The sequence below is a fragment of the Homo sapiens genome, chromosome 12, assembly GCF_000001405.40.
Source record: "Homo sapiens chromosome 12, GRCh38.p14 Primary Assembly".
Lineage (NCBI taxonomy): Eukaryota > Metazoa > Chordata > Mammalia > Primates > Hominidae > Homo > Homo sapiens.
In genome coordinates, this window is record NC_000012.12 from 80,214,629 (window position 1) to 80,227,514 (window position 12,886).

Sequence of the window (12,886 nt, forward strand, 5' to 3'; positions counted from 1 at the left end):
ACAGATTCCCATTTGAACCATGTCTCTTTTTTCAGTTCAGTTGGTATTTGTTGATGACATACCAAGGACAGTGAGATATAAACAAGAATAGCAGTGCCTGTTATCTAGAAACTCCATCTGTTACGGAGGTAGGCTTATGAAGAAGTCATTTCTGTGCAATTGGTTCATTGAATCCAAGACAACCTCAATCATTTACCATTATTTATATGACATAAAAAATAAATATGCTCCAATTATAAATGTAAGATGCCATTCTGAGTTCAAATATGTCAATAAATAAATAAATAAAATCTGCATGTCACACCTTAGCCTTGGTGAAATGTATTATGATGTATGGGATGCTGGATAAATAGGATGTTGTTGTAGCCAGAGAGGTGGTGTGCTAGGGAGTCATTCTAATTTCCATAAAGGAGATGTGGATTGAGTTAGGTCAAAGGATATGGAGCAAGAAACAAATTATATATTTTTATCTTGCTTGTGTTATCCAATGTTTTCAGTTTTTGCCTAACAATAAAAACAGGTAGCATGTTTACAAGTCTTTTTTTTTTTTTTTTTTGAGAGAGAGTTTTGCTCTTCTTGCCCAGGCTGGAGTGAATGGCCTGATCTCCGCTCACTGCAACCTCTGCCTCCTGGGTTCAAGCTATTCTCCTGCCTTAGCCTCCTGAGTACTGGGATTATAGGCACATACCACAAACCCTGGCTAATTTTCTGTATTTTTAGTAGAGATGGGGTTTCACCATGTTGGTCAGGCTGGTCTTGAACTCCTGACCTCAGGAGATCCACCCACCACGGCCTCCCAAAGTGCTGGGATTATAGGTGTGAGCCACCGCGCCCGGCCTGCATGTTTACAACTCTTATTATGTGCCTGGCACTATTCTTGGTGTGTCACTCACATAATTTCACTGAATCCTCACGATTCTGTGAGGCAGGAACTTTTATTTTATAGATTGGGAAACTGAACCTGAGCGGGTTGAATAATTTGTTCAAGGCGATAGGCCCTATAAGGTAGAAGTCATTATAGAGTAGAAGTCATTATACACTTTTAGTGAGTATCAGAGATGATTGGCTTCCATTAAAGGGATAGACATAAATCATTTTGGAGCCAAAGGAAGAAGGTTTTGGTGTCCAGTAATATCCAGGGCTGTGTTAGATTTAGGCAGCCAGAAGCAATGTGGCTGAAGAGAGAATAAGACTTGCCATCTTGAGGGAATTGAGGTCATAGACTGTTGTTGCATCTAATTTAGTTTGAAGGCAGAGGCAAGAACAAAAAGGGGAGATTGAACAGTGAGGATAAGACCTGGGAGTATTGAGAACAGGAGACAATGAACTTGAAACCATTGTGTGGGGCAAAGAGATTAGAAAGAAATCTTCAAATAGTGAGAGAGTGTGTCTTTTATATAGCATGGGCTGACATGATGGCATGCGCCTGCAGTCCCAGCTACTCAGGAGGCCGAGGCAGGAGGATCACTTTGAGTCCAGGAGTTAAGCCCAGCCCAGGAAACACAGCGAGACCCCATCTCTTAAAAAAAATGATATAGCACGGGTAGATTTTCCTGTTGAAGTAAAAAGTGCTGAGATGGAAAATGTCAAAATAAAACTTCACGTAAGGGAGACTAGAATCTGCTGAGAAACAACTCTGTTCCTGAAGTCACATGGCTCATTTTCCCATCCTTCTTATCTTTCCCCCTTCTTCAGTTTTTCTAATATCATCTGCTACTTAATTTGACAATTATTTGGCAAGTTTGGGTGTGTTTATTCTGGTGAAATATAAGTGCTATTGGAAAGAATATTGCCCCAGCCCATACACTCAATTGGTATGGAGTTGGAATAATAATCCACAATTGATTAGTTTTAGTAAGCCACAACTATTTGCTACTTAGCCATATAGATCTTTTAAAAACCTTAAAATTTCATCTGGATTGCTTAGATTGATTGACATAAATCTCTTTTTTGCTAATTTTCTGTGTGAGGCACTATGTATGTAAGCTTCACGTACATGGCTTTAATTCATTATCCTAACTATACAACGAGGGAAGTGCCATTGTTGTTCCCCTTTTACAGATGAGTAAATAGAGGCACTAAGAGGTTAGGAAACTTGCCTAAGGGTAAGTAATTACGGAGTCAGGATTCTAATCCAGCTTTGTTTGATTCAAAATTCATGCTGTTTACCACTACTCTGAACTACCTTGGGCTCTATAAAAAGATATATTTAAATGCTAAATGACGAGTTAATGGGTGCAGCACACCAACATGGCACATGTATACATATGTAACAAACCTGCACGTTGTGCACATGTACCCTAAAACTTAAAGTATAATAATAATAAAAGAAAAGAAAAAGAAAGAAAGAAAAAAAAATGTTCTATGAACTTTACAGTGTCAGTCAGCTCTTTGGAGCCTGAAGGTGACACACTGGCACCGAAACAGCAGATGCTTCTGTGGATGTTTTCTTTACCGATTGGTGTGCAGGCAGGCAGGACATCACCATCTGTTGGTCTGTCAGCCCCATGCATTTTTTTTTTCCAAACCTATCTGCGCCTGGAAGTGTCAGAGAATTGCTATTTCTGCAGGCAAAGCAGTCAATTATTCCAAAGGTTAGACTCCAACCAGGCTCCTTTCATGAGGTTGCGAGGTGGGTGGAGGGATCGGGGGCTGGGGGGAAGACTGGATGATGGGAAGGGGAGGGAGGATGGGAAGTGAGAACAGAACAGAGAGCAGACAAAGTAAATATAGACTTGTCAAAGTCATGTAAGAGGCAAAACCAAGACTTGAATCAGGTCTTCTAACCACAACCTCAGAGGAACCCTTTCTGCCTCATGGAGATGATAAGCCTCAATAACCCCAGAAAATATAAAGTCAGCACTTTATCATTTCTGTATTTGTAGTTATTTTCTAGATTTGCCAATTTGCATGTTTGGCTTGAATTAAATAATTTAACTGTATTGCATTCTCATTTCTTTCTTTCAAAGTTTGAAGCTACTTCTCCGAGATACTTTTTCCATGATGCTATTAATTGGGGTGAGAGCAAAATAAAAGGTCAGTGTTTATACTTAGGTTTTCATATTTGCTTTCTCAGAAAATCCCTTTGGGGGATATATTGAATCAAGTATTTATTGTTTCCGTATACCACATGAAGGAAAGTGAGCCAGGATGGTAGTAATACTTAGTAATAATTTAAGTTCACTTCTTAGAGAAATTTGAATTGTTTCTGAGAATAACCAGGGCCAAACATTTAGACAAACCTGATAACTGCATGACCAGGGAAGATGTCACTGGATGTAAGAAACTATTTTTTTGTGAATAAATTACTTGCTCTTTGATCCCTGTTTTTTGTTACCAATTCCCCATTTCCATTAAGCAGAATGCTGATGGTAGTTTGAAATTTAATTTGAGTGGTAACTATGAAATAGAAACTATCACTGTTGTGTTTAAAATAACAATGATCCTCACTAGTTTTCATTTGATATTTGTTTTCAGGAGAATAAGCAGGACTGTAAATACATTTTTAAAGGCAATACATTTGTTTATCTAAATATTTAACATCTCTTCATCAGAAAAATGCAAGACTGTTGATCTAAGATAAAGTGCAAATACAGATGTGCACCTAGTGGAAAAAACTGCATTTAAATTTATGAAAAACATCATTTTTTTTCTACCCGTATTTATGGACTAAGTTAAAACAGCATATTTTTTCCTCACTGAAGATATAGTTGGAGATTTGTGCATTTTGAAAAGTAAAGAGACATTTTAGATCAGTGGATCTTAAGGTGGAGAGGAATCATAAAGGTTTTTGAATTCTTGCCTTCGGCAGAACTGTGGTCAAATGATCAATTATATAACTATCTTCTGGGAATTAAGATGTTCTGTGGTTCTCCTCATGTGTTAAATTCTTCCTGCTTGAGTTTTGCCAGTTGCCTCTTGTCCTCTCCTTATTAGAGGAAATTTTTTCACTGATTCATTTGCATTTTTAAAACTCACTCAGGAGATGATGGTAAAATTAGGGTTAGAGCTCACAGTTACTTGCTTTCTCTTTTTAACATAATCTGTTGGAACAATTTTATAACTTTTCTTTCTATGAAAGAAAGAATATTTTTGGTGACAGCAGTGACTTTGGCTTCTGCTTCATCAAAATTTAAGTATAGATTTCTTTTTTTTTCTTTTTCTTTCTTTTTTTTTTTTTTTTTTTGAGACAGTCTTGCTCTGTCACCCAGGCTGGAGTGCAGTGGCGCGATCTCGGCTCACTGCAACTTCTGCCTCCTGGATTCAAGCGATTCTCCTGCCTCAGCCTCCTGAGTAGCAGGGATTACAGGTGTCTACCACCATGCCTGGCAGCAAAGGTTTCAAAGAATGTGTCATTTGTAATTGAGCCTGAGGATTAATATACAAACCTCAAATGAAATGTTTAATCATTCTCTTCAAAAGCAGGAGTCTCCCTTTGAGTTTTATGCTTTGCCTGATCCCTCAAGTTAATGATTGACCCGATTCTTTTTTTGTTGTTGTTGAGACAGAGTCTAGCTCTGTTACCCAGCCTGGAGTGCAATGGCGTGATCTCGGCTCACTGCAACCACCACTGCCCGGGTTCAAGTGATTCTCCTGCCTCAGCCTCCCATGTAGCTGGGACTACAGGCATGCACCACCACACCCAGCTAATTTTTGTGTTTTTAGTAGAGATGGAGTTTCACCACGTTGGCCAGGCTGGTCTCGAACTCCTGACCTCAAATGATCTGCCTGCCTTGGCTTCCCAGAGTGCTGGGATTACAGGCATGAGAGACCCTATTCTTTAATAGAGTGTTTGCTCCTGGAAGAGGAGCTGATGGGATGTGCAGCCAGCGCCAAACTCTGTCAACGGAATCATCTGCAGCTTGTGTATTTCTGGTTCTCATCATCTGGGACAGAGATTCCTTACATGGGAACTTGACCTTTGAATTGCTTGAAAGGAGCTAACCTTTGCTCTCAGGGTAGTCTGAGATGTGAAAGCCTGCCTTTCTTGCTTCACAGCACACATAATAAAATGAACTAGATAGAGACTTGTTGGGTTTAGTTCTTTAGCTTAGCAAGGCAAGAGGCTGAGAGTTCTGTTTAAGTTAATAGTGATTACAATTTGTCCAAGCTATATCTTGACATATTATGCTTAAAAGAACAAATGGATGCCAGAAGATAACTTTTTTTTTTTTTTCCCCCTCAGGTTCTTGTCCTTATGAATGCCTTAATGGAGCTTTCTGTTCTAAGACTGGAACATGTGACTGTCAAATATTTCAGGCTCTTGGGACAAGATGCCAGATCAGTAAGTTTCAGGGATGCTTGTGAGATAATTATGAGATACCAAGGAGAAAATTAAGGCATAATTTGCTATAATAATGTTCATCCATTGGGAGTTGTATATTAACTAGAGAGCCCACAATTCATTCTCAGTAATTTGATGTAATTTAGAAACAAAGTAAAACAAAAGTAGATAGGGCCACTTTCCCTTCTCATTGAGCTCTCTTATTGCTTCAAGTATTTTTTCTACTTTCTATAGTAATAGCCTATTATTATTATTATTATTTTTTGAGACAGAGTCTCACTCTGTCACTCAGGCTGGAGTGCAATGGCACGATCTTGGCTGACTGCAATCTCTGCCTCCCAACCTCAAGCGATTCTCCCACCTCAGCCTCCCTAGTAGCTGGGACTACAGGTACCCACCATCATGTCTGGCTAATTTTGGTATTTTTGTGGAGATGGGGTTTCACCATGTTGGCCAGGATGCTCTTGAACTCCTGAACTCAGGTGATCCTCCCATCTTGACCTCCCAAAGTGCTGGGATTACAGGCATGAGCCACTGTGCCTGGCCAGTAATAGCCTATTAAAACCAGGTTCTCATTCATCTCTCTTTTGCTTTATAAAACAGATTTATTATTTGGAGCCAGTCATTCTTTTGGACCTTTAATTAACTGGACACTTTGTATGTAAAAAAATAGTACTGAGACTTCTTCGAGGGCAAGGGCTTTTTTTTTTTTTTTTAAATCTTTTATCCACAGTGTCTAAGATAGGATTCTATGTCAATAATAATCAATAAATATTCATTTGTTTAATCGATGTTTACTGGCATCTAGATCCCAGGCTAGGCATTGGGGATGCAACGGTGAATAATAGAAACATGTTCCTGTCCTCTTGGAGGCTGCAGTCTAGAGAAGGTGATAAATACACAACAGATACACAATAATTAAACTTGTTACAGGTGCTGTAAAGTACAAGATGCTATGAAAAAATGAAGCAGAGGTGGGGCATACTGTCAGGGAAGACTGCCTGAATAATGAATAATTCTATGTTTTTTCCTGAAAAGGCCACAGTTGTCCAAGGCTAATAAATTTAGGTGGGAATCACAAAAATACAAGATGTAAAGAGTCACCCTTACCTTTATGCCCCCCACCCAGAGTGTATCAAAATGTTTTACATGTATTGAGTGCTCAGTGAATGTTACTGGTTTTCATATTATTCTAAAGAGAAGAATTTAGAAAACAAAAATTGAATAGAAGATTATCTACAAGGGTAAGAAAAAAAGGTAGGCATGACAATAGGAGATACAGTTGCATGATTTAAGATAAATATTGCTTGAAATTTGGCCAGTTTGAGGTCATGAATTATTAAATTCCAGCATACCTTTTTTTTTTTTTTTGGAGACAGAGTCTTACTGTCACCAAGGCTGGAGTACAGTGGCGCAATCTTGGCTCACTGCAACCTCCGCCTCCTGGGTTCAAGCAATTCTTGTGTCTCAGCCTCCTGGGTAGCTGGGATTACAGATGCGTGCCACCCCACCATGCTGGCTAATTTTTTGTATTTTAGTAGAGACGGAGTTTCACCATGTTACCCAGGCTGGTCTCAAACTCTTGAGCTCAGGTAACCTGCCCACCTTGGCCTACCAAATTGCTAGGATTACAGGTACAAGCCACCACACCAGCCAAATTCCAGCATACTTTGAATGACTAATGCTCCCCACATCCAGGTCCCAGACACGTAAATATGACTTTTTTTGGTCAATAGTTATTTTTCTCTGTGGATACCATAAAAAGACGTTTTTGAAAGACTAGAACACTCTGATGCTGTATATGCTAATCTTTAGGACACTCAGTGGTGACATTTCTCTTTTTTCTGAGCCATCTTACTTGCTTTATTACTATCACCTTTTACTGAATTATTTTCCATACTCCTTTTTTTCTTCTAGAATCTTTCTTTGAAAACAAAAGTTAAGAAACTTTCTAACATAAATCTTTTCTTCATAACTACTTGGAGACCCTGTTTTTCTTCAGGGGAGTTTGATAGTTTTGAGAGCAACTGTTAATTTTATGTTAGTTATTTCTTCCTGTGTTATAGACCAAGGAAGGAAATTTGAATGAAAATTAGAATCATTTACCATGACTGACTGAACATTGCTAGAAACGTGTAATTTATTTTGCCTACAAAATATTATCCTGTTTCTTTTCAGTCCCAAACATGGGCAACGGCAGAGATGGGATTTGTAAAACCTGGGGACAGTATCATTTTGAAACATTCGATGGCATCTACTATTACTTCCCAGGAAACTGTTCTTACATTTTTGCAAAGGACTGTGGTGATTTGGAGCCTCGGTACACTGTATGGGTAGGTGATTGTAGGACATGATTAACTTAAAAATATTATCTCTGGAAAAGTATGTATTTTTAAAGTACTGGGAAAATGATGCAAAATATATACTAATAATAGAATGAATACTTATTTTGAAGAGGGTCTGGGTTCAGTTACGAACCATATTACTCACACTTCCTTCCTTCCTGATACTTCCAGTGAGATATGTCCAGCTGGTTTAGTTTTTTGAAATGACACCCTCAGTATGAACCAGAGGCTAACATTTATAAAATGGAGTGTATGAGTTACATAAGCACAGGCTATCGGATGTGAAGACTGACAGCTAATTGCTAGGTAGTTTGATACTATATGACTGAACTCAGAGAATTAATTCTTAGTTGCAGAATTCTTGATTCAAATGAATTCTTAGGAGACCTCTCGAAAATATAAGCTTCAGAGTGGCTCTAGTTGAATAAGGATGTCAGGGACCTCTTTCTTTGCCTACTATCTTCTGAATTTCTAGGTATTTCAATCACTACCAGGAAACTGCTATGTTGTTGGATTTAAAAGCTACAACTCTCCATAGTCAAAACATATTTGAATCTCTGTTATGCTTTCCCTTTTTACTTACGTTGGGGCTGCCTACATTCTCCTCCTTTCTAAGGTGATGCAAATATTAAAAGTAGGCCCTGAAACTTCTTTTTTTTCATAGGTTTTTGGGGGAAGAGATGGTGTTTGGTTACATGTTGATTTCTGAGATTTTAGTCCACTATCCCCTGAGCAGTGTACATTGTACCCAATGTGTAGTCTTTTACCCCTCATCACCCCCCAGCCTTTCCCCTTGGTCCCCAAAGTCCATTGTGTAATTCTTATCCCTTTGCATTCTCATAGCTTAGTTCCCACTTACGAGTGAGAACATATGATGTTTGGTTTTCTATTCCCAAGTTACTTCACTTAGGCTAATGCTTTCCAATTCCACCCAGGTTGCTGGAAATGCCATTATTTTGTTCCTTTTTATGGCTGAGTAGTATTCCATGGTGTGTGTGTGTGTATGTATATATATGTATATATATATGGCATATATGTATATATATCATATTTTCTTTATCCACTCATTGATTGATGGGCATTTGGGCTGGTTCCATGTTTTTGCAATTGTGAATTGTACTGCTATAAACATGTGTATGCAGGTATCTTTTTTTGTATAATGACTTCTTTTCTTCTGGGGAGATACCTAGGAGTAGGATTGCTGGGTCAAATGGTAGATCTACTTTTAGTTCTTTCAGGAATCTCTATACTCTTTTTCATAGTAGTTGTACTAGTTTAAATTACCAACAACCGTGTGAAAGTGTTCCCTTTTCACCACATCCATACCAACATCTATTATTTTTTGATTTTTAAATTATGGTAATTCTTGCAGGAATAAAGTGGTATTGTATTGTGGTTTTCATTTGTTTTTCTCTGATAATTAGTGATGTTGATAATTTTTTCATGTTTGTTGGCCATTTGTATACCTTCTTTTGAGAATTGTCTATTCATGTCCTTAGCTCACTTTTTGATGGAATTGTTTGTTTTTTTCTTGCTAATTTGTTTGAGTTCCTTGTAGATTCTGTATATTAGTCCATTGTTGGATGTATAGATTGCAAAGATTTTCTTCCACTCTGTGACTTGTCTGTTTACTCTGTTGATTATTTCTTTTGCTGCATAAAAGCTTTTTAGTTTAATTAAGTCTTGTCTGTTTATATTTGTTTCTGCTGTATTTGCTTTTGGGTTCTTGGTCATGAATGCTTTGCCTAAGCCAATGTCTAGAAAGCTTTTCCAATGTTATATTCTAGAATTTGTATGGTTTCACGTCTAGATTTAAGTATTTTATCCATCTTGAGTTGATTTTTGTATAAAGTGAGAGATGAGGATCCAGTTTCATTCTTCTGCATGTGGCTAGCCAATTATCCCAGCACCATTTGTTGAATAGGATGTCCTTTCCCCACTTTATGTTTTTGTTTACTTTGTCAAAAATTAGTTGGCTGTAAGCATCTGGCTTTATTTCTGGATTCTCTGTTGTTCTATATGACTGTTTTAATACCAGTACCATGCTGTTTTGGTGACTATGGCCTTATACTATAGTTTGAAGTCGGGTAATGTAATGCCTCAAACTTTGTTCTTTTTGCTTAGTCTTGCTTTGGCTATGTGGCTTTTTTGGTTCCATATGAATTTTATGATTGTTTTTTCTAGTTCTGTGAAGAATGATGGTGGTATTTTCATGGGAATTGCATTGAATTTGTAGATTGCTTTTGGCAGTGTGGTCATTTTCACAATATTGATTCTACCCATCAACGAGCATGGGATGTGTTTCTATTTGTTTGTGTTGTCTATGATTTCTTTCAGCAGTGTTTTGTAGTTTTCCTTGTAGAGGTCTTTCACCTCCTTGATTAAATATATTCTTAAGTATTTTAATGTTTTTTGCAGCTATTGTAAAAGGGGTTGAGTTCTTGATTTGATTCTCAGCTTGGCCACTGTTGGTGTATAGTAGGGCTACTGATTTGTGTAGATTAATTTTGTATCCTGAAACTTTTAGACCCTGAAACTTTTTAAGGCTACAAATCTTCGTGACCCAGAGAAGAAGCACAACTGGGTGACTATAGTCAATAATATCTTAATTGTACATTTTTAAATAACTTAAAAAGTGTAATTGGATTGTTTGTAACACAAAGGATAAATGTTTGAGGGGATGCATATGTCTTTCTCCATGATGTGATTATGTAACATTGCATGCCTATATCAAAACATCTCCTGTACCCCATATATATATGTATATACACCTACTATGTAACCACAAAAATCAAAAATAAAAAACTAAACAAAATAACAAATGTATTTAAAGTAAAAAAAAAGAAATGAGATATATTGAAAGTTCACTTATGGGGCATAAGAATAAAAATTTAGAGGTCTCTTTAGATAGGGCAGTTGGTGAAATGCATCTTCTGTGCTTGCAGGTCTCCTGTTCTCAGTTCTCTCATTGTCTACTACTCCCCCACCCCTCACTTGTTTTCTCACTTGAATACCCTTTGACCTTCTCTTTAAAATGTTCTTGTTCAGTGTCCCACTCTTTTGAGGACTGAGGTGTCAACGAGATAACCTGTCCTTTGTTAGTAACACACAATGCTGAACTATGCCTCTGGAGTTAGTAGATATTGTTTCTACTTGGCCTTGTTTTGAGTAGTAAAATTTTCTTTCAAATAAATACATCAATTTACTTGAAATGTCACTTTCCCCTTGATTATAAAAGCAGTTCATTTCTTTTGTAGAAAATTTGGAAAATTCAGAGAAGTCTGAAAAATGTTAAAATTATCACTTAAGAGTTACCATTGGTTAACAGCTTCACCTATTTCCTTCTCAACATTTTGCTCTGAATTTTATACATACTTATAAAATTTAAATTATAGTTTTCTGTCCTACACTTTCAATTAATATTATGTCTTCAACTTCCTTCAATGTTAAATATTCTTGATACATCCAAATACAGTTAGCTGTATTTTTTCCAACTTCTGTAATACTCAAATAAGTTAATGATGTCCTATATTGGAAATTTAGATTTTTTTAAAATAGAATTTCAAAGGATATGTTGATAAACATTATCATACAGATATCCTTATCTATACCCCCGACTATTTTTTCCATCTTTAAATTCTATTTTATTTTTATGAAAATAATATATGTGTATGGTGAAAGATTTCATCCCAGAATATATGGCAAAAAATAGCCTCTGCCTTCCTTCATCCTCCACCCTAGCAGAAGCCTGGCTCACAAGAGACAATTACTTCAACTAATTTAGCTGTTTCTTCTGGTTTTTATCTTACACATCAAAATATGCCATTATCTCTTTATTTTTCAAAGTTAGGCCTTATTCCTTCACTTCCTGTTACGGAAAATGAGAAATTATCTTAGTTATGCCACCCTTCCTGCTCCTAACACACACACACACACACACACACACACACACACACACACACACACTTCCCTTCACTCCTCCTAATAGAGTTATGTCACCATTTTTGGTTAAATAATTTATATTTTTTATATTATTGTCACTATGTAAATATTGTTTAGAGCTGATCCCAATAGGTTATGATGATTTTCTGTCTCTACTTGTATATTTTTCTAGAGTAAACAGTTATCCCATTTTTTCTTTGCTGTATTCTCTTTACTCCAGTCACTAATATTTTTCCTAACTCTCTACCTCTATAAAACTCTTCAATATGGTCAGATGCATTAAGCAAGTTATCAGCTTCTCTTTTCCCTCATGAGACAATCCTTCCTCAGTTTTCCTTCCCATCTTTCAATCCAGACTAGTTGCTTTTGAAGTCTACTGTACACCTATCACTTGGGTTTTCTTTTTGTCATCCTACTGGAGAATTTTATTCTTCTCTCTCACCAGTTTTCCTCTTTCTTGGTTCCCACCGATGTCTAGTGGTCCTTTAACTTTGTTCATACTAGAGAGATAGGTTCTGAAAAGCTTATTGGATGCTCTGAATGTGTGGCCAGTGTTTGTAGTGGTGATTAAGCAAGAACCCATTTCCTCTTTGTTTAGTCACTTATTTTAATTGACTAAGTTGGTTCCTGGAAAGGGAAGATACTTTCCTGGAAAGTGTGCATGGGAAGAGAATTTTTGAAGCCTTGATTTTAATTTAAAAATCACTTTCAGAATTTTAAATTTCAATTCACTCTCATTTCTGATCATTTTACATATAACCTTACTCAACCTCCAGAAGTTTTTAGATCTTTTAATTCCCAGAGTTCTGAGATTTTGTAATTATGTGAATTTCCTTTCCCATTCTTTTGTGCTGGGCACTTGATGGGCTTTTATATTGGAGCTAATATATTGGAGCTCTGGGGTGGAGTGATCCCTTAATTTTCTCACTGATTCTTGCCTATTTTCCACTTTTTTCCTTTTTTGTTCTACATTTCGGGATATTTCTGTCCAATTCTGAGATGTTTATCTTCTCACCTTTCTACTTCAGTTATACATTTCTCCTTTTATATTGTCAGTATTCAATTATTTGTTTTTATTCTTTGAATTTCGTTTTCAGCAACATTTTATTCTCAGGTCAAGGATGGCATATATAATTTTTCTCTCAGAAGATATCAACTATGTATTTTTAAAGTTTTTGGGTTTTTCTAAATTGTTTTTTATTTCTTTGATTCCCTTTCTTTTGTTTATTTGATGTCTTTCATGTCGCAGACTTTCATCAAATGACTAATGATTCATGAATATTTGTTCACATTAGAGAATAAGGCTCTAAAAGCG

The 12,886-nt window shown here is 36.7% G+C and overlaps 1 protein-coding gene across 7 annotated transcripts in view; it reads left to right on the forward strand.

Annotated features, from left to right (window-relative positions):
* Positions 1-12,886, forward strand: part of OTOGL (otogelin like) — a 281,344-nt gene that overhangs the window by 115,092 nt on the left and 153,366 nt on the right. For 5 of the 7 annotated variants that reach the window (NM_001368062.3, NM_001378610.3, NM_001378609.3 and 2 more), the window contains 3 exons: positions 2,970-3,036; positions 5,186-5,284; positions 7,463-7,617. In NM_001368062.3, the coding sequence (NP_001354991.2) occupies positions 2,970-3,036; positions 5,186-5,284; positions 7,463-7,617 (321 nt within the window). Of the gene's footprint in view, positions 1-2,451; positions 2,595-2,701; positions 2,856-2,969; positions 3,037-5,185; positions 5,285-7,462; positions 7,618-12,886 lie in introns of those variants that run through there. The other 2 variants (XM_011538193.2, XM_011538192.3) reach the window with 2 other exon arrangements.